Source organism: Homo sapiens, chromosome 2 (assembly GCF_000001405.40).
Source record: "Homo sapiens chromosome 2, GRCh38.p14 Primary Assembly".
Lineage (NCBI taxonomy): Eukaryota > Metazoa > Chordata > Mammalia > Primates > Hominidae > Homo > Homo sapiens.
In genome coordinates this window covers 133,656,554-133,682,970 of record NC_000002.12, presented here as the reverse complement: position 1 = coordinate 133,682,970, position 26,417 = coordinate 133,656,554, and the positions used below count along the sequence as shown (strand labels likewise).

At 40.0% G+C, this 26,417-nt stretch overlaps 1 protein-coding gene across 2 annotated transcripts in view; it reads left to right on the top strand.

Annotated features, from left to right (window-relative positions):
* The first annotated feature begins 8,134 nt into the window (after positions 1–8,134).
* The window catches only part of NCKAP5 (NCK associated protein 5), a 1,003,049-nt gene continuing 984,766 nt past the window's right edge, over positions 8,135–26,417 (top strand). For both annotated transcript variants that reach the window (XM_017003975.3, XM_011511100.4), the window contains exon 1: positions 8,135–8,297. The gene's annotated coding sequence lies outside the window, so the exon portion shown is untranslated. The remainder of the gene's footprint in view (positions 8,298–26,417) is intronic.

The following is a 26,417-nucleotide window of genomic DNA, read 5'->3' as shown; positions in this document are numbered from 1 at the left end:
CTGCTTTTCTTAAATGCCTTTTCCATAATTTAATGAAAAGGGACAAAAGTAAAAACGAGGGAAGACATTGAAAAATGGCCAATGGGGAGCATAAGAAAAATGCCCTTTACATGTGGTGACTTTGAAAGATTAACTTTTCAAGTGTGACCATACGTATGAAACTATTACTGTTTTTGCTGCTTTAAAAGCATAGGGTAAGAGTTCTCTTTGAAATGATTATTAAAACTATTAAATAATTATGTATACCCTTGTTATTATGTCAGTTTAAAGGTTTATTACACTGGGTAAGTCCGAGGAACATATTGGCTGGTAAGCTGGTTGTTTTCTGGTTTCAGGTGCAATTGAAATTCAGCTACATGTTATTCAGAAACCCTAGAGAACAACTAAATGATGCTATTTACCATTACATAGGGCTTCTCTTAGCAACCAATTTTGTTTATGCTTCTAAAGATAATGTTAGTAGGAGCCTCAATGTCTGGTTATAATGTATTCAAAGCCAGAGTACTTGAGAAGTCTGTGAGTAAGAATGATCCAGTTGTCTTTGTGTTAGTAGCTTTTATCCAGGGATGATAAGGAAGGGAAAGGAATTAACATGAACTAGGGACCACTAATAAGCCAGGCATTTTTACATTTTATGATCTCTATACTCCCTACAAAGCCACATTTTACCTTCCTTTCTTTGAGTTGAAGACTCTGAGGCTCAGAGAGGTCAAGTCACTTGCTCAAGGTCACGCAGCTAGTAAACGGCTGAGCAGAGGCAGACTTTAGATGTGTCTGACTGTAAGGATTGCCATTCTTCCACTGGAAACCATTGCCTCCACCTGAATGGAAGGGTATCTTTTTTGGTAGGAAGGAGATATATTATAGAATGGGGGTATGGGTTGGGCAGCTGGTCAACCTGAGAACAAGACTTGAGAGATATTTAGGCCCAGAATCTCTCACTTCTTTCTTCCTCCTCCCCTGCATGGTGACCTCTAGGCCTGTCGTTTTTATTTTCCCAAGCCCTGGTCTCTGGGAAGGATTAACAACACTATCAGTGAATAGCCAAGTAAAGTTCTGTGGACAAAAAAATGCCAATCAAAAATAATTGTGATCTTATCATTTCAAGATGACAAACGCTTTTTTGTTTTTGAAGGTATTCAGCCTTGACAAAAAAGTCAATCTGCACAACATGCATTAGCAAAACATCTTCCTGGGCAAAACAAAACAAAAAAACAAATATTAGAACATCTCTATGAAACGAGGCATCTGTATAGTCCTATATAGAGGATGAGAGGACACCCATAACTGCTGGAGAAAGTAGCAGAAGACCAGGCAGGGCAATAAAGTGAAGCCAGACAGACCCAGAACTCTGTGTACAATCGTTCAATCCATACAGCCCAGGACAGTGTGTGGTCGTGAGTGGCTGGATAAGCAGTGTTTAGGAGCTAGACTGCCTGGGTTTGACACAAGCTCTCCCACTTACGTCATTGTGAGTGAAGATAAACAATTGTGCCTCAGTTCTTCCGTCTGTAAAATGGCAGTAATAAAGGTACCTATCTCCATAGAGCTATTCTAGCCAAGGCACTTGGGACAGGGCTTGTTACATAGAAAGCACTGTGCACAAATTGGCTTTCAAGCATGCTATTGAACTGCTTTCTCAACTAATCAGTATCCAGTCTTTGGAGGATACAAGCACTCATTATGATCCTATTTGTGACAATAATTAGGAAGAACTGCTCATTGAAAATGGATTTCAAAATTGCATAGCAATTATTTCATTTATCTTTCATTATTTTGATGAATTCTTCAGTGGACAAGATAAAGTGAAAGTTGTAACTATATTTGTTTTCAGCACCTACCACCGTATATGGTGTACCATCTGTGGATTTATAAAATATTAGTGAATTATTGAATGAGCCCTAATATTCTGACAACTGTTTAAATATCGATGTTTTAAAGTACTGTCATTGAATACAAATACAATTTAGAGTCTTTCTCTGCTTTCTCTCTCCCCCTCTCTCTTTTCTGGCCATAAATCATTGTCTATTCACTGGGTAAACAACATCTGAATTCCCTGGAGCTCAGCAGCCCACTGATTTCACTAAAAAGTTGTCTCATCCAACTCTGAATATGGAGTCTGGTTTCTGAATGGCTGGTAAGATTTATTTTCCCTGGTGGTTGGAGCTGGTATATTTTACCAAGGCAAATCCCCATGTGACAAAGGAATAAATACACAGGGAAGAATCATTTGCATAAAGTAAGTGAACCCCATCAATAAACTCCATTTATTTTGTTATCAGAGAAATAGCCCTGTGCCCTTATCCATCAGCAGACAGTCTCTCTGACCTTTCTCACTTCAGTTCATACTGGATTGCACTGCCTCACCAGCAGCCAATCTACTCTGAAATCAATGTCCTGGTTTCACACCCAGAGGTGTTGACCTCCATAAGCAACAGACTTGTGTGGCAGAGGAGGCTGCCATTAAAGGGACCACGTCATGCAGCCTGGTCCAATCAGCTGCTAGCATAAGCTTCTTGCTTACTTACTTGCTTTGTGTTGTTTAATTCAGAGTTGGCAAGAAGGTTTAAGGAAAAATAAGGGTTGGCAGGGAGGTTTAAGGAAAACATAGATAGAGCAGAGTTTAAATCTTGGCCTTGTCAATTTCTGGCTGTGACAATGTGAGCAAAAGTTTTGACTCATCTGAGCCTCAGTTTATACATTGGTAAAATGAGGATAAATAAAATTGACTGCATAGCATTTTGTGAGGATTAAAAAAGGCAATACAAGTAGTGTCTAAAATAATACCTGCCACATGGCAGGTGTTAGTCAAATGCTTTTTACCTTGTCTCCTCCTTTTCTTCCCTTTTTTCCTCCCTTCCTTCTTTCCCTCTCTTCCTTCCTCATATGTGATCTTCTATTTGCCCAGGGCTTCTTGTGTGATTCTAAATTATAGCATCTAGGGCTTGTATCAGGAAAGCATACCTTAGGTCCCAGAATTTTGAACATCAACCTAAAATTTTCCCATCAGCCTTCAGCCTCTCTTCCTAGCCATGGGAAGCTCCTCAGTAGAGATGAAGTCATTAGCTCAATTCTTTAGGGCTCATCTTTCTCTGAAACTTAGTGATCAATTTACTTTACCCCTGAGACTACCCTTGTCATCTTTGGGCAAAATCACCAGCAAGCAGAAAAGTTTGGCCTCTTCCGTAGATGCTCAATACATGCTAGATAAGTTGGAACTATCATGGCCATGTCCCAGGAGCTCAGAGAGCATGATATACTGATTCTGGGAACTAGGTGTTTTAGGAATCATGCTAATCAAATGTAACAACATACCTGGCTTCCAGAAAGGCAGCTAAATGTCAGGTTAAGAGCTTGGGCTCTGAAATCATAATGGCTCTGCTCTGTATCCTCCAACAAATTTCTTAAGCTCTCCAAGCCCAAGTCTCCCCATCTGTAAATGACTAATAGTAAGGTGGTTTTGGAGTAAGTTAGAAATGGCCCTCAAGGCTCTTAGCACAGTCTGTCAATACAGTAAGAGGAACAAATATTGGCCAGTTCTCAGATGATCTGAAAACCACCTGTTAATGGGCTGAATTATGCCCTCAGATTCATATATCGAAGCTCTAACCCTTGTTTCCTCAAAATGTGACTATATTTGGAGATAGGATTTAAAAAGGGTAATGAAGTCATATGGGCGGGCCTTAATCTTGTATGACTGGTGTTTTTATAAGAAGAGGAGATTGAAACAGACACACACAGGGAAGGGCACTATGAAAAGACACGGAGAAAAAGACAGCCATCTGCAAGCCAAGGAGAGAGGCCTCAGAAGAAACTAAACTGCCGATACCTTGATTTCACATTTCTAGCCTCCAGCATTGTGAGAAGATAAATTTTGGTTGCCTAAGCCCTGCAGTCTGTGGAACTTCGTTATGGCTTCCCAGCAGACTCATGCCCCGCCCCATGCTGAGACCCTTTCTCACTAGCTGTGTGATCCTGAGCAGGCCTGGCATTCAGATAGGCTCCATTAAGGAGAGTCTCATTGAATGTAACCAACCAAATGTCCTGCTTTGGCCTTTTCTCCTAATTTTTTTTTTTTTAATTTACACTCCCCTTGAACAACATCGCTAAGCCACAGGCTGGCCATGTCATAAGCAAGCTTCCTGCTTCACCATGCGGAAGCCTCTTGCTGGCGTTTTTTGAACACCAGTATCTCAATTCACTCTCCGTTTGCCTTGATTTGCTTCTTTATTTCCTGAGGACTCAAGTGGCCTGGGCTCTTGACTGTTTTCTCGATGATTTGGCCATCTCTTCTGGTTTGCCGGAAGCTGGGACTTTGTGGCTCCATCTGTCTTCTTGGATTCTGACCCTCCGCTTAGCTGACCGAGATTTGTCACATAAGCCTGTGTGCTCTCTGAGCTTCCATGACTTCAGCATTTTCTATGATTGAGAGCAAGTCAAGAGTACACACTGTACACACCCAAAGTTAGTCTTGGGTATAGTTAGCATAGCTGTATTCATGCTACTCGTGAGAAAGTTAAGGCCTGGTCAGAGTCAGTGCCTGAAAAGCCACAATTAGAAATTTGGTTTGCTTCTCTGCAGCAGCAAGACCTTCCCATTCCTATACATCGCCCTTCACTTTGCCTTCCTGGCTCTGACCTCTGTTGTTTCTATGACCTCCAGAACCCACCAGATTATTCTAATAGATTGTTCTGTATTACCCGAACATGATTTCTTGCTTTGTGCCCATACAGGGCCCTATTGGCCAGCCCCAATCCAAGGAACCTCTGACCTATTGATAGCTATAACTCGAGGGTGGATAAAGAAGGGCAGCACAAGCTTACAAGCTCCAGGAGGGAGTTAAAATGGGATCACTTTGGCCGGGCACAGTGGCTCACGCCTGTAATCCCAACACTTTGGGAGGCCGAGGCAGGTGGATCACGAGGTCAGGAGTTCAAGACCAGCCTGCCCAACAGGGCGAAACCCTGTCTCTACTAAAAATACAAAAAATTACCTGGGCGTGGTGGCGAGCACCATAATCCCAGCTGAGGCAGGGGACTGTAATCCCGGGAGGCTGAGGCAGGAGAATTGGTTAAACCCGGGAGGCGGAGGTTGCAGTGAGCCGAGATTGTGCCATTGCACTCCAGCCTGGGTGACAAGAGTGAAACTCCATCTCAAAAACAAAACAAAACAAAACAACAACAACAACAACAAAAAACGGGATCACTTTGCTATTTCCTGGATATTGTGAGCTGCTCACACCTGCCTCTCCTGTGTAACAAGATTACCAGGATGCATACTAAAGGTCTGTAAGTGGCAGAGAGGAGTTTTTGTCCTGGGATCTAAGAATTCTTAGGTGTCCTTGATCAATGATGGCTAAGCCATGTGTCCTGTGTAACAATAGATTTCCTCTTGGTGCAGCATGCTCAGTACTGTGTGTGAAAGTGGCTTATAAGGGTAAGACAAGGAATTAGAACTTGGGCACTTGAAATACCTCTGGAAGTATAAAAGTAGACTGGAGCCAGGAAAATACCTCAGAGTCACTAGGCAAGTCAGAATGGGGAATCACTTGGGCAGTTGAAAGTAGGAACATGTGTGACAAAAGCAAGTATGCAACCTGGACATATTGTTTTATTAACTTTCTGAGAAGTCATGCATCACTTCTTGCCTCAGTTACCCTTTTTAAAAATAAGAATAGTTTGGATCAGCCAGTCTCTAAATTCTCTTCTATTTCTAGAATGCTAATCTGTTTTACTTATTAAGTACCAGTGTCAGAGCACATTAGCAGTCCTGCTAACAGATACAAGATACCAGTAACATGAAGTTCTTGACATCTGAGACCAACTTCTCTTCTGAGAGGGAAAATTCTCTGTATGGTTTCTGCAAAGGCTGGAGCAGATCAAGTCTGGGTGCAAGTGCAGGTCTTTGAGAACACCTTTAGAAGCAGAAGGTGACCCATGCCTAATCATTCTATAGTATTGTAGTAATTTCAGAATTATCAGACCTCACAGCAGTGAGTCAGCAGTGCCTTTGAAATTCGGGGCTAAATTTAACTTCAGCAAACCCTGAATCATGGTTCTAGGATAATTTTAAAATAGAAGATGGTTATATTCATGGAATTTTCTGCTCATAGAATGGCAGAGGGGAACTGACTGTATGGGAAACAAAAAATCTTCCTGAACCAGTCAGATGAAGTATAGCCACACAAGAAACAGTGAGCCATTAGCTTGGGACACAGCAGTTACCACCTACCAGATCACTCCCACCTCTGGTGTTGGCTGGAGAGATCCCCCTTCCTAAATCATCCTTCTCAACCATCTCAGTGGTTCCAAAATCTAAGGGAGGACATTGCACAAGACAAAAGTAGGGAAAGCATTTGTCACCCACACCCTTAGTATGCTCCTCCCAGTGCTTTTCAATTCCAGCCATGTGTTGCATCAGATTAGATATATACTATCTCTCTCAGGACCAGCTATGTAACTTGTTAGGCCTGATGCAAAATGAAATCATGGGGCCCCTTGTTCAGAAGTTAAGAATTTGAAGATGGTGCCAGTACAGCATTAATCCAAGTACAGGTCCCTTTTAAGCACAGGACTGTGGGTGACTCTGCAGGTTGCACACACATGGGGCTGACCCTGATCTTTTCCCGCAGTCTTCTGCTCCTCTGCTTTCCTGCTAAAGATGCCTGTTCACTCAGGGTACTGGTTTTAGACTCTGAGTGGTTCAACAAATCCACCCAAGCAACTTGCATACATCATTCTTTCTCTTGTGCCATCTTGTTATGAACCACAATTTTATTGACGTGAGGAAAAGGCATCAGAACAAATCTGACAATGTTCATTGGCTCACATTTTCCAGAGAGACGCATCCTTGGGGTGCTGAGATCCTACTAGATATACTGAGTCTAAACCAGAGGTTCTTAATGAGGAGTGAGCTCAGGCTTACCTGAGATGCCCAGGGATTCTAAATCTGTAAACCTACTTTATTTATGCTCTTGAAAAGTCTTCTCAGTAAAACAATGGTAAAGAAGCATTTGAAAACAATTCCATTTATTTGTTATTTTATATATCTTATGACTTCTTTTATCATTATTTGATTTTTTGAGACATACATGCGTATCCGTGCATGTGTATGCTCCCCTCCCCACCAGCTTGATGTTAGAATCTGTTTAAATGGACTTTTTTTGTTGTTATTGTTCAGAGTGTTTTAAACTTCAGTGTGGCTTGCAAGTTCTGTTTGGTGATGATTATCCACTTTGACTCCGGGTGAATTTATTTGTGGCTGGATCTAGCAGAGGCCACAAACTAATTATTGCAACCAACCAAGAAAAATAAAGAGAATGAGGAAATGCCAGAAGTATTGACAATATTTATTGTAGCATATGGCTAATGTAAAAAGAGGTAATAGAACGATGTATCTCAGGGGATCATTCAAAAGGAAAATTACTTACATTAACTTTTCAGGCAGACCGAATTATGCATTACACCCCTCCTGTAATGCTATACAAAGTCAATGTTTGTGAAGAGTAGAACTGGCGGCTATAAATCAAGCCTTTCAGAAGAACTGTTGTGTCTGCAGGGATTTTTTTTCCTTTGCTTTTTTGACATTTAGATGAATGAAGAATTTTCTCAGCAAATTATTAATTACTCCTTCTTGCCTATAGAATTGAGTTCACTGTAGTTATGTAGGAGTCAATGGTATTCAAACTGCAGCTTTTGATGAAGTAATCGGCTGCTTCTGGGGCCTCTTTCAGCTGCCCTGGGCGTGCTTCACATGTAAACGACTGCCAAATGGATTCTTTCGACATTCCAGCCAATTAAAATACATTTAAAGTGCAGCTGGTGGAGAGGCAAACCACGCGATTGTGCGGCGAACTTCAGGGCAGTGAGACAAAAAACAAACTTTGCGGAACCCAGATCCAGCAGCCCAGCAAGGCATTCGTTCGGGGGCAGTAGAGAAAGTCATAAAAAGAGGCTATCTTTAGCCCCCGTCAGAATCAAAGATGACACTTTGAGCACCACCTTACAGGACACAAAAGAGGGAAGCATGTTTGTCAGGGTGTCAGTTTTCTCTCCTTGCCTCTTGAAACTCTGTGTGTTGGCTGGTTGCCCAATGTGGTGCCGCATACAAATGTTGACAGAACACAGCGGTGTTTGTTAAACCCGGCCTGGGGAAACCAGTGATTAAAACTCTTGAAGGAAGATCCGAAAACCCCAGGAACTCTCCTCAATAGCATTAGAACATTGATCGAATGAAAGAGAAAGCAATGAGTGGGCTAAAGTGAAACATTCAGCATCCCTGTCTGGTATGCCTTCTCGGTAAGGACAGAATTTTCTCTTCTTTTTTTTTTGTTCCTTGAATGTTGATGTTGGTATAGAGGAAAGCACCCAATGTGTTAAGTGCTCTGGTCTGGAGCTCTGATTTGCAGCGTGCAGAGTTTGCCTGTGATTTTTCTGGAGGACATGAAGGGATCACACTCACTATGTAAATAGACACAGGGCATTACATGGCACGTGGTGTCTGCGAGTGCCTTTCCAGAATTCAGGATGGTACATTTTTAAATGTTTGCCTTTGCTGACCTAGCCTAGTACTTGCTGCTGTGTATCCAGGTGCCTGGAGATTAATTCCTCCTTGGAACCAACAGTTATGATGTACATGCCTGATTAATTTTTATTTTAATTTTCATGTTGTCTGATTCATTCCGCAGCCAGCCGCACACTATGCATGTCAATCGTGTTTTTTTTTTTCTTTTTTCCCTCTTCCTGGGTTAATATTCAGCCAGACCCAAGCATTCTGGTTTACTAAAGCAAAGTCAAAATATTTGGAAATGCCTTGCTTTATTCTGATATTCACTGGAGAAGCTGCTAACTTGGGAATTCGCTCTGAATCATCCTTTTCTAATATTTTAAGGAGGCAGGTGCAGTTGCATGATTTCTGTGGTGCTGCAAGTTCAGTAAATACCCAGCTCTTGGATCATACTCAGACACCTATCTTAAATTCCTAAGAATGCTAAGTTGGAGTATGGCTGAGCAGGGGCATTGATTCCTAACCATCAATTGATCAATGAAAGACATACAAAGTTCCTGATTGTTCCCTATCTTAGCTTGTCACGGTAGGCCCTTTCTGGCTCCAATTTTGTTCATTGCAAACAAAGAATCTTGCACATTTCACGGTGAAGGATCACATTGCAGCGTCCTGAGCTCAGTTAAATGTGCTTTATTAATCTTTAATGTGCCAGTAGCTCTGAGGCTATGCCAAGCTGAGACTTTCCAAAATTCTCCAAGCTACCTGCTGCCAAGATAAACGGTGGTAGGCCCAGAAGGGGATATTTTAAGGAAACTTGCAACAGCAAAGTTTTACCCATTAAGTTTGTCCTGAGTCAATGAAAGAAACCTTAAATAAAAGAGATTTCAGAAAGAGCTGCCTCAGCTCTGTACCCTCTGTGTGAGAGACCTGCTGGGAAGAGTCCACCTCCTCACACACACAGTAGTATACGCTCCAGAGTGGGAGGGAATAGGCTTTCTGCTGTGTGCTTGGTGGGCTGTGTTTATGAAATGGGTGCCATGCAACAGAGACATGTGTGAACGCAGAAAGCTTTCCTGCCTGTGGCTGTGTTTTGAGCCCAGAGAAAAACAAGGTTATATATGTGGTGTGCTGCCTGTCCAATGCAACTATTTCAGACATAACAGCATCAGAGGTGTACCATGGCCACGGAGGTTCACTTGGACAAAAGCACAGCCTTGCAGAAAAAGAAAAGTGGGATGGCACACCTCTGAAAATGGGGCAGTGGAGGTGACTTAATGACTCAGAGGACTATATGAACCTGTGATTGATTGGCCAGGTCCTGGAGAACATAAGGCTGTGACCTCATGTGGGGCTCTGAGTGGCTCATCAGGTTAACACAGAGTATATGGTGTCATCATCATTTTGGGGGATGCAGGTAAGAGACAAAATGGAGTCTGCCTTTGGACACAAGTCCTGTAAGCAGGAACTTCACTTACAAGATTGCTATGAGAGGAACATGGAATTAGAGCTGAGAGGAGTTCCAAGGTCCTTTCTGATTTTGAGTCAGTCACACAAAGACTTTATGAATATGTGTAGGCAGTAATGAGGGGTGATCAAGAGTAAAGGATGGCCTCAGTTAATCAGGTGGTTTTGTTGGCTTTAAAGTCAAGTCCAATCTCCTTCCTGTGGCCTAGAACAGGGGTTGACAAACTACAGATCACAGGCCCAAATCTGCCACCATGTGTTTTTTTGTAAATAAAGTTTTATGGAAACAGAGCCACACCCATTTGTTCATATATTATCTATGGCTGCTTTTGTGTTACCATGGCAGGGCTGAGTAGTTGCAACAGAGACTCTATGGCCCTGAAAAGCCTAAAACATTTACTATTGGGTTCTTTAAAGGAAAAGTTTGAGAGGCTAAACATATAGAACAATGCTTCTCAAACTATCTGTGGTGAAGAACCTGTTTTGTGTTTTAAATTTCTAATCCGTTATGCACTGATAGTTTCTTTAAATATAATAGAAATGTTGCATGAATGTTATGGTGATGTCATATTGCTATAAAACTTCTAAATATTTATTCTTAATTTTTGTGCTTATCACAGATCAGCAACAAATAGTTTACAGACTGGCACCAGTTCCTGGACCACACTTTGAGAAGTTCTGGTCCTTGCATAGTTTTCTAGCCTCATCGTGTGCCATTTGTCCCAAATTTCCAAAGATGCTCTCCTCTCTTATGAGTCAAATCAACAAACCCTTCCCCATCTTTGGGCCTTTGCTGCTGATGTTTGCTTTACCTAGAAGTCTTTTTCCCTGACTCTTCTCTTAGCTCCTCCTTTCCTTTAGGTCTCTGTTTAAATTCATCTTGTCAAAGGAGCTTTTTGAAAGAAGTCCATCTGAAAAATCTTTCCTCATCTTTCATCACTCTTTCTTCATAGCATTTATTGCAATCAATACCTATCGTGTTTATTTATTTGTTTATCTCCTTCTTATTTGTTTCTCTGTTTTGGTCAGGATTCAGTAACAGCACCATCTGTTTCAGCTAGTTTAAGCAGAAAGGAATTTTGTACTGGTTTGAGCAGGCATATAAAATCTTGTAGAAGGAATGGGGGAGCAGGCAGAACTTCTGAGAGTAATGCACAGGGCATGGCAGCATGTTTACAATTATGTCTCTGTCACTATCACAAAGCTGGATATCAGGAAGCTGATAGTCTCAGTCCATTTTGTTGTTGTTGTTGTTGTTGTTGTGTATACCAGAATACCTGAAACTGGGTAATTTATAAATAAAATAGATTTATTTATAAATTCCTTATAGTTATGGAGTCTGGGAAGTCCAAGGTTGAGGGGCTGCCTCTGATGACAGCCTTTTGCTGGGGAGACTCTGCAGAGTCCTGAGGTGGTGTGGAGCATCACACAGTGAGGGGCCTGAACATGCGAGCTCAAGTCTCTCCTCCTCTTCTTATAAAACCACCAGTCCTACTTTCATGATAACCCATTAATCCATTAACCAATTAACCCACTAATCCATGAATTAATTGATCCATTTATGAGGGCAGAACCTTCATCACTCAATCACCTCTTAAAGGCTCCACCTTTTAATACAGCCACTTTGAAGAGTTTATTTCGATATGAGTTTTGGAGGGGACAGATATTCACACTGTTGCACTAATGCCACCACCACTACCTCCAGGATCACATTGCCTCTGCTCTCATCTCCTCCACCAAAACAAGCATCTTTGTTTCTTTCTTTTTTTTTTTTTTTTTTTTTTTTTGAGACGGAGTCTTGCTATGTTGCCCAGGCTGGAGTGCAATGGCACGATCTTGGCTCGCTGCAAACTCCGCCTCCTGGGTTCTCGCCATTCCCCTGCCTCAGCCTCCCGAGTAGCTGGGACTACAGGCACCTGCCACCACGCCCAGCTAATTTTTTGTATTTTTAGTAGAGATGGGGTTTCACCATGTTGGCCAGGACGGTGTCGATCTCCTGACCTCGTGATCCACCCTCCTCAGCCTCCCAAAGTGCTGGGATTACAGGCGTGAGCCACTGCGCCTGGCCTCATCTTTGTTTCTTGAAACAAGTGAAGCTAGAGATAGGATATTAGGGCCTTTGCTACAGATGTTGCAGATAACCTGACACCTCTGGCAGGAACAGCAGAAACTGAGCACCTAACTCCTGATTTTCACTCTGACTTTCAAATCCCACTATAGGGGGCCTCCTGGATGAAATATGAATAGCAACAGAGCTCAAGCTATGAGGGAGTTAGTGAAATATTTGGCTTAAAATCTTAGGTTTTTGAGTCTCTAATGATGAAATGGAGTCCCTATAATCTGCCTGCATCATCTACTGGAAGGTTATCCCCATGAGGGTAGGGACCTTGTTCATCACCCTACACCAGTGCTGAGATTAGTGCCTGCCACAAGATGCACAATAAATGTTGATGCTATATTTATGCATGCATGAATGGAATATATGTTTTCTCGAAGTCTGTGGTTTATAATAAGGTAGCATGTAGTACACACAAGGGAGATTCATGTATATGAGTTATCCTGAGAAAGATCTCTGAGGTGGGAAATGGAGACTACTTATAGGCAATAATCTCACCTTTGAAACATACCTTCTTTTTCAAAACTGAAATATATTCATACAGCTGAAGTTAATCAGTGTGCTCAGGGATGGGAGTATTCAGGTTACTAGCTAACACTATGATTTACTGAGGGCTTATTATAAGCCCTGCACTACACTGTATGCTACACATGCATTATCCCATTTATTCTGCACAAAATCCTAATGCAGCAGGCATTACCTCTATTTGCAGAGAGGAAATAGAGGCTTTACCTAGTAAAGTGGCTTCCCCAAGTCACAGAGCTGGTAAGGGGTAGAGCCATATTTGATACCATGACTTTCTAAAATCCATGTTTTAGCTCTTAACCTCCAATTATAATCCCACATACAATTTACCTTTCTGGTTATTGTACATTCACTGAGGAATCTTCTGTTTTGTTTTCATCCTAGTGGCTGGTTAATCTATTGCATTAATCTACTTTGTGTGCAGTCTGTTCATCTGGACTGAGATATCCATACAGATCTCTGGATCATTGCTGAAGGTTGCTGAATATCAGCACTAAATCTGTGGGTCTATAGATAAGTGTTTTGAAGAAGTAGGAGAAAACTAATTCTGCAGGGATGAAGAGTATAAAGAAGGTATACACAAGGTAGTAATTTTTGCTGTTAGGACAAAAATCTTAGATAATAGAATATTTCTCTCGTAATTGGACAACGCTCCACCCATGCCATATGTTTGGTTAAAATTTTCAAGTCTTTGGATTCTGTCAGGTTGAAATTCTATGTAACATTATAGTCATTGAACAGTGATATTTGGTAATAGTAGTGACTTTTTGATAATAAAAAATAAGTTGAGAATTAATTTTATATTTTAAGTTTTAGAGGACTCAAAAAGATACCTTTGAAGAAAGAGGACCTGGCAAGTGGTGGAGCACCCAAGAAATTTTACCTGACAACAATATACATGATAAAATAAACCACTTAAACCCCATTTCTAGTGTCTAAGAATGATAGGGGGGAAAAGAAGTACTACTGAAATGGTGGAGTAAAGACCTCTGAAAATCTACTTCTCCAAAAAAGCAAGAAAGCACTGACAAAAATGGCCAAAATCAATGTTTCTAGAACTCAGGAAATTAAAGAAAGGCTTGCAACAATCTGAGGAGCATTTATTCCGGGGAAAGATTAGCTGAATCTCAGCAAGAACAGTGAGCTGTGTGGCATTTAACTTGCCTTATTTTCATTCCCCTCTTCCCAGCTTGAAAACGAATATGTGATTATAGTAGTTGTGCAAACCAGTAGCCTAGTCACTACTAGGTCACTACTATTACCAAATATCACTGTTTAATGATTATAATGTTAAATAGAATTTCAACCAGCCTAGCAACTACTGGAAGGGACAAAACTTTATTCTCCCCAAATTGTCATAATTTGACCTTTCTGCTAGCTCCCTGCAAACTCCCACTCTCAGGTCTTGTCTTTATTTTATCTGACTCAGAATTTAAGTACAAAGATGCTTTTCCCTGGGACATTCATATCAACATACACACTATGAGAGTTTGAGAAAGAGGATACCAGTATACGCATTATGAGAGTTTGAGAAAAAGGAAAGATAGGAAGGAGCAGAAAGAATATTTGAAGAAATAACAGCTGAAAACATGCCACATTTGATGAAAGATATACATCTACATATCCAAGAAGCTCAATAAACTCCAAGTAGGATAAAAATACAAAAGAATATTATTTAACTAGAATATTTAGAGAAAGCTTATAACTCAACTATAAAAAGACAAGTAAACCAGTTAAAAAAAACAAGCAAACAGTTCAAATATTCATTTCTCAAAAGAAGATATGCGAATGGCTAGTATACATAAAATATGCTCAACATTATTAGTTATTAGGGAAACACAAGCAAAAACCAAATTAGATACCACTTTGCACCCGCTAATATTGCTGTGATAAAAAAGATGGACAATAAGAAATATCAGCAAGGATATGAAGAAATTAGAACCTTCATATATTGCTGGCGGGAATGTAAAATTGTGTAAATTGTGTAGCCACTTTTAAAACAGTTTGGCAGTTCCTCAAAATGCTAAGCGTAGTGTTTCCATATGATGCATCAGGTCCACTCCTACATATAGTTCCAAGAGAATAATAAATATATGTCCACATGAAACTTGTACATGGATGTTCATAGCAACATTATGCATACTTTCCCAGAAGTGGAAAGAACCCAAATGATAATCATTTGATAAATGGATAAAGGAAATGTGGTATATCCATACAATAGAATATTATCTAGCCATATAAAGGAATGAAGCCCTGATTTATATACCACATGAATGAACCTTGGAAACATTATGTTAAGTTTAAAAAGCCAAATGTAAGAGGTCACATATTGTATAATTCCATGTGAAATGTTCAGAATAGGCAAATCCATAGAAAAATAAAGTAGACAATTGTTTCTAGAGGCTGGGAAAAGGGATACTGGGAAGTAACTGGTAATGGGTATGGGCTTTCTTTTTGGGGTTGACAAAATGTTCTGGAATTAGATAGTGGTGCTGATAGTACAACTCTGTGAATATATTAAAGCCTACTGAATTGTGCTCTTTGAAAAGGAAAATTTTATTACATATAAATTATATCTCAATAAACATGATTAAAAATGCTATTGAAGGAAACTAGTTAATTGGACATATTAGAGTTCAGTCAACCTTACCAATTTGGGGGCATAAGGCAAGGGTGTAAATAGATGTCAATATGCCATATATCAAATATTTTACAATTGTAAATCAAGAAAATGAAATTTTAAGTAAGTTCTACTCTTCTGCTTTGACCAACATACCTTTGGATCACCTTTGTCCTGTTTGTAGTAGAAAGTCAGCAAGGGCTTTAGTTAGGATAGGGAATCAGCCCTGTCGAGGTCTGAGTGGAAAACAACCTGGGGATGCAGTTAGTAAACTATGGCAATGATCCTACCAGAGACTGAGGAGGACCCAAACCAATTTGTTGGTGTGGAGGGAGTATGACAGATACAGCAGACATCCTGTAAGCTGAATCAGCAGAGATGGAGTGGAAAGAGGATAAAGGATGAGAGGAAAGAGAGAGGCTGGTTGATGTTTAGAGTTTCCATGACTCAGGATGATGTTATCAGCCCTAGTTTCAGAGTTCACTATTGTCACATCATCACCAGGAAATGATCCAATATTTGGAACATGTTCTCATTTCATTAGTCTCACTGTGATTTTGCATTTCAAAGAGAAGCAGGTATTAGCACAATAGGTAATTGGGCTAAGTTGGTAGAATATGGGAAGGTAAGAGACTGAATGTTAATCAGGCTTTCAATCTTAAATTAGCAGCAATCACATATTTTCAAGAAACTATGAAGAAGCTAGGTTTTGGCCAAATTTTGAAGGAAATTAAGATTGCATGCCTCTCCATTTCAGTTCTACCAAATAGTTCAAGTCCTTCCTCTTTAGCCCTGGTTTTTACAGATCCTGCAACAAGATTGACAGTTGCCTCCCTCTCAGACTTATATGCTATACTATTTTATATCTTTCTCTGCATCTTGCTGTAATACTCTGACCAGATATGAGGTGGGTTGCTATGAGACAGGCTGTCTCATAATTTGATGGTGGAGTGCCAATTTGTGTGACTTTTATGGAAAGCATTTTACCAATTGATGTTAGAGTATTTAAATCGATTCCATTATCATCTATTCTATTATAATTTAGAATATTTTAATCTATTATAATTTAATCTATTCAAAGGAAATAATGTGTGATTATAAAATTATTCATTACAACATTATTTTAATGGTAAAACATAAAAAACTAGTGAAAAATTGAAAATAATCTGAAGTCCATCAGTAGGTGACTGTTAAATAAGTAATAGTGAATAGAATAGTGTGCAGCCATTAAAAACTCATGTAAGGCCGGGCACGGTGGCTCACACCTGTAATCCCAGCACTTCGGGAGGCTGAGGTGGGTGGATCACCTGAGGTCAGGAGTTTGAGACCAGCCTGGCCAACATGTTGAAACCCCGTCCCTACTAAAAGTACAAAAATTAGCCGGGCATGGTGGTGGCTGCCTGTAATCCCAGATACTCGAGAGGCTGAGGCAGGAGAATCTCTTGAACCTGGGAGGCAGAGGTTGCAGTGAGCCGAGATCGCGCCACTGCACTCCAGTCTGGGTGACAAGAGAAAGACTCAGTCTCAACAACAAAAAAAAAAAAAAAAAAAAAAGGATGTAGATCTAGTTGATTGAAATAATGACTATGATATAGTAAGTGGTAAATGTAGGCTAAAAGTAAGTGAATTAGGAATTCATTTTAAAAATGTATTTCTCTACATATATGTATCTGCATACAAACAAAAGCTAGAAAGTACTTCCATTAAAATGAGAAGATAATTTTTACTTTCATCTTACATTTTTGTATTGCTGAATTTGTTTTTAATTAATAAACATTCATATTCATATAATAAGTAAAACATAGCTTTAGCATTCACCAAATCACCATTTACCATTAACAACTGTGAATCAAATAAACAAAAATGCTATATTCATAAGATGAAATACATTACACTACCATTTAACATAGTGATTTTGAAAAATAGTGATTTTGAAAATGAATGTTAACAGTTTTTACCCACAATAAACACAGGGATACTTTGTTTTATTGTGCTTTGCTTTATCGCACGTCGCGGATATTGTGGTTTTTTCCCAGTTGAAGACTTGTGACAACCCTGCATTAAGCAAGTCTGTCAGCGCCATTTTCCCAACAGCATGTGATCATTTTGTGTTTCTGTGTCACATCTTGGTAATTCTCACAATATTTCAGACTTTTAAATTATTACTATTTATATATCTGCTTTGGTGATCTGTGATCTGTGATTTTTAATCTTACTATTGCAATTGTTTTGAGGTATCACAGACTATGCCCATATAGGAGGTGAAGTTAAAATGTGTGTGTTCTGACTGTTCCACCAACCTGCCATTCTCCCATCTCTCTCCCTATCCTTGGATTTCCCACTTCCCTGAGACACAACAGTATTGAAATTAGGCCAATTAATAACAGTACAATGGCTGTAAAGTGTTCAAGTGAAAGGAAGAATTATGCATCTCTTACTTAACATTAAAAGCTAGAAATGATTAAGCTTAGTGAAAAAGGCATGTTGAAAGCTGAGACAGCCTGAAAGCTAGGCCTCTTGCTCCAGTTAGCCACGTTGTGAATGCAAAGGAAATGTTCTTGAAGAAAATTAAAAGTGTTACTCCAGTGGACAATGAATAACACCAAAAAGTGAAACAGGCTCCATTGCTGTTATGGAGAAAGTTTTAGTGGTCTTGAAGATAGACCAAACCAGCCATAACATTTCCTTAAGCCAAAGCCTAATCTAGAACAAGACTTTAATTCTCCTCAACTCTATGAAACTGACAGAGGTGAGGATGAAAAAACTGTGGAAGAAATGTTTGAAGCTAGCAGAGGTTGGTTCATGAGGTTTAAAGAAAGAAGCTATCCCTATAACATAAAAGTGCAAAGTGAAGCAGAAAGTACTGATGTAGAAGTTGCAAGTTATCTAGAAGATCTAGCTAAGATAGGTGGTGAAGGTGGCAATACAAAATAACAGATTTTCGGCTGGGTGCGGTGGCTCACATATGTAATCTCAGCACTTTGGGAGGCCAAGGCAGGTGGATCACAAGGTCAGGAGATTGAGACCATCCTGGCCAACATGGTGAAACCTCATCTCTACTAAAAATACAAGAATTAGCTGGGTGTGGTGGTGTGCGCCTGTAATCCCAGCTATTACGGAGGCTGAGGCAGTAGAATTGCTTGAACCCAGGAGGTGGAGTTTGCAGTGAGCCGAGATTGCACCACTGCACTCCAGCCTGGCAACAGAGCGAGACTCTGTCTTAAAAACAAAACAAAACAAAAAGAACAGATTTTCAATCTAGGTGAAATAGCCTTATATTGGAAGAAGATATCATCTAGGACTTTCAAGCTGTAGAGGAGAAGTCAAAGCCTGGCTTCAAAGCTTCGAAGGACAGGCTGACTCTCTTGTTAGGATGTAATGCAGCTAGTCACTTTAAGATGAAGCCAATGCTCATTTAATATTCCAAAACTTCTAGGGTCCTTACGAATTATGCTAAATCTACCCTGCCTATGCTCTAGAAATAAAATAATGAAGTCTGAATGACAGTGTATCTGTTTATAGCATGACTTACTAAATATTTTAAGCCCACCATTAAGACCTCCTGTTCAGAAAAAAAAAAAGATTACTTTCAAAATATTGCTGCTCATCACCAGTGCACCTGGTCACCCAAGAGCTCCAAAGGAGTTGTACAAGGAGATTAATGTTGCTTTCATGTCTGTTAACACAACATCCATTCAGTAGTCCAGGGATGAAGAAGTAATTTAAACTTTCTAGTCTTATTATTTAAGAAATACAATTTGTAAGACTAAAGCTGCCATTGACAGTCTTACAGATCCTGTGATGGATCTGGGCAAAGTAAATTGAAAACTTACTGGAAAGAATTCACCATTCTAGATGCCAATAAGAACTTTTGTGATTCGTGGGAGGAGGTCAAAATATCATCATTAACAGGAGTTTGGAAGAAGTTGATTTCACCTTCATGGATGACTTTGAGGGGTTTGAGACTCCAAGGAGAAAATAACTGCAGATATGGTAGAAAGAGCAAGAGAACTGGAATTAGAAGTGGAGCCTGAAGATGTGACTGAATTGCTGCAATCTCATGTTAAAACTCTAACAGGTGAGGAGTTGCTTCTTACAGATGAGCCAAGAAAGTGATTTCTGGAGATGGTGTCTACTCCTGGTGAAGATGCAGTGAACATTGTTGAAATGACAACAAAGGATTAGAATATTCATAAACTTAGTTGATAAAGTAGCAGCAGGGTTTGAGAGGATTGACTTCAACTATCCAACAGCATTGCATGTTGCAGAGAAAACTTCCATGAAAAGTCAGTCAATGTCAAACTTTATTTTTTTCTTATTTTAACAAATTGGCACCACCGTCCCAGCCTTCAGAAAGCGCCACCCTGATTAATCCATAGGCATCCACATAAAGGCAAGATGCTCCACCAGCAAAAAGATTACAACGTGCTGACAGCTCATAACCGGCATTTTTTTTTTTTTTTTTTTTGAGACGGAGTCTCGCTCTGCCGCCCAGGCCGGACTGCGGACTGCAGTGGCGCAATCTCGGCTCACTGCAAGCTCCGCTTCCCGGGTTCACGCCATTCTCCTGCCTCAGCCTCCCGAGTAGCTGGGACTACAGGCGCCCGCCACCGCGCCCAGCTAATTTTTTGTATTTTTAGTAGAGACGGGGTTTCGCCTTGTTAGCCAGGATGGTCTCGATCTCCTGACCTCATGATCCACCCGCCTCGGCCTCCCAAAGTGCTGGGATTACAGGCGTGAGCCACCGCGCCCGGCCCCGGCATTTTTTTTAAGCAACAAATATCTTTAAGATATACACATTGTTTCTTAGACATAATGCTACTGCACACTTAAAAGACTGTAGCATAGTGTGAACATCACTTTCTATATGCACTGGGAAACCAACAAATCTGTGTGACTCCCTTTATTGCAAAATTCGGTTTACTGCAGTGGTCAGGAGCCCAACCTGCAATATCTCCATGGTATGCCTGTACCTACAGCAGTAACTATAGCCATAACCAAATTATTTTTAATAAATACCTATTATTTTAATATTCAGAAAATATTTTTAATTTCAGAATTATTAGGTTGGTGCAAAAGTAATTGCGGTTTTGCCACTTTCACTGAATTACTTTCAAAACCGCAATTACTTTTGCACCAACCTAATGGTATTGTGATCAAATTCTTTATACTCTCTCTTAGGTGCTGTAAATCAAAATGCCATAGTTGTATCTACTAATTCAAGTTAAATGTATATATGTATTTACAGTACAAACCAGAAATATGTTATAAGCCATATATTTCTTCCATATGGAAACCTGAAGCAGTGGGCATTGTAGACACTGGGAAGACAGATTTTTAGTTAATTGAGTCTTCTAGAGAGTTAGGGAGAAAGGCCATATACACACTTAAAACACTTTTGTACACTTGATAACCCACAGAGTTGGGCAAACGATAAAAAGATATTGAGAGCCACATTATTACACTATTTGCTTTTTCAGAGAGAGCATTTGGAAAACTTGGTAAGGTGGATTTTTCATCAACCCATGCAAAGTAATTTAATAATCTGGCCAAAAATTATCTTAAATTGATTTAGTCTTAGGAAATGTCCAAATCACTTCCTTAGAATATCTTCTTTGGTTTTTACCACAATCTCGTGAGGCAGACAGGACAAATATTTACATTCACAGATAAGGAGACAGCTTCAGACAGGTTAAGCACACTGCTCAAGATCTCAAACTAGAAAATTAAGGATCTGGGATCTGAACCCACATTTTTTTTTTGACAATATAAGTTAGTTCTAGTTATAAGTGGGAATTGAATCTTAGTTTACCGGCTCCATGTCCAGATGTTTATCTATTCTATGTCTTTGTATCCTCCCAGAAGATTACAATGCTTATAAAGTAGCCCAGGATTGAATCCTGATCCGTTTCTAATAAGGCACCAGTGAACACAAAGCAAGGAGGATTCTAGATGAACAAGACTGTGGTAAAGCATGGTCAGGGGAAAGGGCTTGGGTATGGGGGGATGGTTGGGAGACCTTCAAACTCAAATAGCTGCCAAGGCCATACAGGTGATATAAATAATGGAAGCCTGCTAGGAGTGAGAAAAACAAAATCAGCTGCATGATAATGGAACTGCCACTGGATCGCATTATGGTAGCGATAGCAGGGATTCATGAGTGTGGGCGAACTGGAGAGCGTGTCCTGTTAAATATCTGAAGGATGTAGCTGTTGCTTAGCACCAGCAACTGTTGCAGAAAAGAAACTGACTCTGTGTTTTACTTTTTTCAGTTACTCAAAAGAAGGCTGAAAATTTTGATTTTTAGGCAAAATCTCTCCATTTTAAATGCTAGTATTAATTTTTTAAAAAGCATTTCATAAGCTGACCAAAATATATCTGATGGCAAACAAAGCCTCTAGAGTTGGTGCTTTGTGATTTCTGGGCATATTGTGTCTAAGAGTTTTCCAGGTTCCTAGTTGATCAAATTTGATTTCTGCTTCCTTGATGATGCTCCACAGTGATCCTTGTCATTTGTCCTTATGCATTCAGGCAAACATCTCTCTTTCATCTTCTTCGCACCCACCTACACCTACCACCCTCATCAATCCTCGTCATTTCTCACACTTGCTCTAAGAGATTGTGCCCAAGAGGATATCCCCAAGTGCACCCCGAGAACAGTCTGGGTAAACACTGCTGGTCATGAGTGTTTAGAAATGTCCCCTGAGGCTCAGGAAAGACATCTTTTAATTAAGCTACACTTCTGACTTTAATTATTGTCTAGACTAGGATTTTTTTTTTTTTTTGCAAGCCTGTAAATATATGCGTGGCGACTGGGTGATACAAATCATTCAGGTTTTCTACACTTAGAAGGAATCCAACCAGAAGGTGCCAAGGAAAGTTCAAAAGGCGTATGAGCAAAGGTGCAAATCTCCATGTTAAATCCGCAAACTAGATTAAACACTTGACTGCTGCCTTGAGCTGAAATAGACAGAGGCATATTCCATCCTAGTTTCTCAGGGAGGCTCACAGCAAAGGGAACATGTGCATCGAGCTGACTCACACAATGTTTCGTCCAGCGAATGTTCTAATACGTCTTTGGAGGAGTCTGACTTTGGAGATAGTTCTCTTCATAATCCATCTTTGGGCAAACTTATAATGTTTCAGTATGTAATGCTTTCCTATTTATAAAGTGTTTTTAATCATGATTCTCTGTTGAAAATTTTGAAAATACCACAAAGTATATAAAAGAGGGTTTTAAAAAATTGCATGCAATCCCATCACCCCGAGATAGTTTTGTAACATTGGTGTATGTTATTCTAATCTTTTTGCTGTGTTTTCATGAAAAACAGATAAGCAAATGCACACACACACAAAATAAAGAAAACATGCTCTTGGCTTTACATAAAAAATTTGAATATCAATAATTACACTTTGTGATAAATTCAGTCTACATAAATAAGCAATAGGAAAAAAAATAGTGAGTGGCGAGACCACAGGAAAGTCAGAATCCAACAGGTAAGAAAGAGAATGAGCAGCATTTTAAGTGCATTTTGACTGAAGGGAAAAAGGCGAGGGAGGGAAGAACCATTTGGGCCCTTGGAATACAGTGATGACAGGTGAGAATACAGGTGAGACACATGTGGACACAAGTTACAGCTCCTGTGAGAAATAGAGAGGATTCTTACAAAAGCATGTGTTAGTCCAATTGCTTTGGGTAGGAGGAATCCAGCCTGAGCCTCCTTCCATTGGTCGTGCTATCTCCAATACTTTCTGCCTCAATCAATCATTATCAATAAAACAAAGAAATCTAAAATATTTTGAGCATTTACCACACGAAAAGGCTTATATATGTATAATATGCATATATAATATGCATTTTAAAACATATATGCAATGGTTAGATGCATATATTTTATGTATGTTCACCATTATGTATATACTCTCATTTAAATTTTTATTAAGTTTATTGAGGTATCAGTCACATACCACTTAAAAGATATAATGCACTGGTTTTTAGTATTTTCACAGAGTTTGGCAAACATTAGCACTGTATAATTTTATAACATTCTTATCACTCCAGAAAGGAACCTTGTACACATTAGCAGTCACTTTCATTCTCCCCCGAATCCCAGTATATTCTGAATACTAAGCCCTTTTCAGATATGCGATTTGAAAATATATTCTCCCATTCTATAGCTTGTCTTTTCATGTTCTTGATGGTATCCTTTGACAGGCAAAATTTTAAATTTTAATTAAGTCCAATTTCTCTAACTTTTTCTTTTGTTGCTTGTGTTTTTGTTATTATTTCTAAAAATAAAAGTTCTTCGCTTAGTGCAAGGTCATTAAGATATACTCTTATGTTTCTTCTGGAAGTTTTATACTTTTAGCTTTTATGTTTACATCTGTGGTCCATTTTGAGGTAATTTTTGTAGATGGTGTGAGGTAGGTAGTGTTCAGCTTTATTCTTTTGCATGTGGATATCCAGTTTTTTCAACACCATTTGTTGAAAAGACCATTATTTCTCAATATGTCTCAGTTTTCATCAAGAGTCTAACGAGTGAGGAATTATTTTCTGTGTTTGCAAATGAGGAAACTGAGGCTCAGGAAGGTTAAGTGACTAGCCTTAGGTACTGAACAATTCCAACAGAAGAAGTAGAATTTAATTTTTAATACCAAAATTAACATCTACTATATGCCAGGTCATGGTAAAAAGAAACACAAAAAGGATATTCATCATCTGATGCCTTTAAATTTTTAAAAATTAAATATGCCCTTCCTGAGGAGCTGTCAGTGTCAAGCAAATAGTAAGCATAGTTCTTATTTTTTAAAAGCTCATAACACAATAGAAACCAAGGAGTTTCCTACAAGCAGATGACCTCAAAAGTCAGTATTTCGGGTTGCAAGGCAGCAGAAATCAGCTTAAGAAGCCACAGTCAAGGACTCAGAGAATCAGCAGGATATTGGGGAACCAGCAAACAGACAGGAGCCAAATCAAGCCCAGGGGCTCAGAAGCAGGAAGCACAGGGATTATCTCTGGACAAAGGCAGTAAGACCAGGACATCACAGTGGTTGAGAATCCTGCTGTCGGCACTGTGAGTGAGCCTGACTGTCCCTGAGCCTTTGCATCCGTAGGTCCCGATACGGAAACAGATGAGAGTGTTTGGCTGGCCAAGCCTGAGTTGTGTGCCCACTCTCTGTATCACACACAAATACCAGGGGTGGTAGATGCTGGAAATGCCCACTCCCAGGACAGCAGGGGGGCCAATCTTTCCACCCTGATATTCCAGTTGCTTTCTTTGTATGGATGAGTCAGAGCCAAATTGCCTTCATTTTATTTTTCATCCTCTCGATATTTCACATGACCTGTTTTCCTAATGAGATTATAATCTCCATGTAGTCAGGAACCGTATTTTACACACCACTACTTTGCAGCTCCTATTGCAACTTAAATACAAGCTTACAGGATGTATTTTCAAATTGGTGAGGATTGCCTGGGATGCCTCAGAGACCACAATCAACCCTGCATTACTCACATGTGAGTTCTCCCCGGCCCATTTCTAACCTTAAGTAGGTGTTTCCTTCCCATTGGCTGGGGATGCCCAGGATGTGTTCGCACCCTTCAATGTTAGCCTAAATGAAACTAGGGGGTGGGGGTCGTTGGGGGTGGTTGGGGTGGATGAACTCTGTTAGGGGAGGGCTATGAGCCGAGTCATAGATTCAGCCTTGCCCATACCTTCCTATGAATACTCCCTTTATCTTGAACTCTTCAGCTCTTTAAGGTAGTTCTTTCCAGGGCTTGTTTTATCCATCAAAATCTTGCGGAGTTTTGGGTTCTTTCCCTTGTTTACCATCAGGGTTCAGAACTGGTTGTCTTTTCTGCTTTACTAACCCCCAGGGGGATGAATGAAATCCCCCAAATAGCTGAGCTCTGACTCAGAGCTTTTGAGAACCTTCTCCCTCAGCCTTTCCTAGCCCGCTCCACCATTTCCCACAGTTCGTGACGCCCGCAGGTCGTGTGATTCCCTCACAATAAAAGAATCTGAGGCTGCATTGCACAGTAACTTCAGGTTCTTATTTTAATCACATATATTCAAGGTGAAGGTTGCTAGTCATCATGAAAAGCATTAATTTGTTGTTGTGTCTTGGCCTGCTAAGCTTTTTTGTTCTTCAAACTGTTGGCTGTAATGTCTCTTTGACTTTTCCGAGAAAGTAGATGTCCACCATTAGTCATTGGAAATTACAGGCAGTTTTCCTAAGGAACAGGAGGAGAGAAGGCCATGGTCAGGGAAGATATTAAGCACAGTTTTTATTTAGTGAAATATTCGCAAAGGTTGCATGCTAAAAGGGTACTTTCATCTTGGACAGTAACTGTTACCTCTGATTTAGTGAAAAAATATGTTAAACGAGTTTCAATGGTTTGAACACCTCCCCTTCCTCTCCAACACACATGTGGAAGCCTTGACCAGCAGCTGTGCTGCCAGCCTTGATCCTAGTTACAGAGGGGCATGGGCAAGATGGGTGAGGGGAAGAGAACTGGGGCACACAATGAGGTGTTTCGTGTTGATGTCCAAGGAAACAAAATTGTTGTGTGATGGTGGTGGTGGCATTGGGAGAATTGGGTGGGCAAAACATCCCTTCTTTGTTAGAATTTGAATCTAAGAAATAAAAGACATCTCCAGTTGAGAAGTTTGGAGACTAGTATTCTAAGTGAAGTCACTCAGGAATGGAAAACCAAACATCGCATGTTCTCATTGATATGTGGGAGCTAAGCTATGAGGATGCAAACACATAAGAATGATACAATGGACTTTGGGTACTCAGGGGAAAGGGTGGGAGGGGGACGGGGATTAAAAGACTACAAATATGGTGCAATGTATACTGCTTGGGTGATATGTGCCCCAAAATCTCACAAATCACCACTAAAGAGCTTATGTAATCAAATACCACCTGTACCTCAATAACTTACGGAAAAGTAAAAAATAATAATAATGAAATAAAATCCTCTCTGTTTATAGAATCCCAACTAATGGAGAGAATCCCACACTTGGTGCATTTATTTTAGTTTGAAATTAGATTGTTGGCTGATAATAATCCTTTACTCCATCAAGACAAGAGCCTTACAAATGCCATCTCTGTCTGGAAAGAGAGGAAGCTCTGAAGCAGGGAAGTGGTGTGTGGGGACAGGAGGAGAGGGGTTAGGAATTT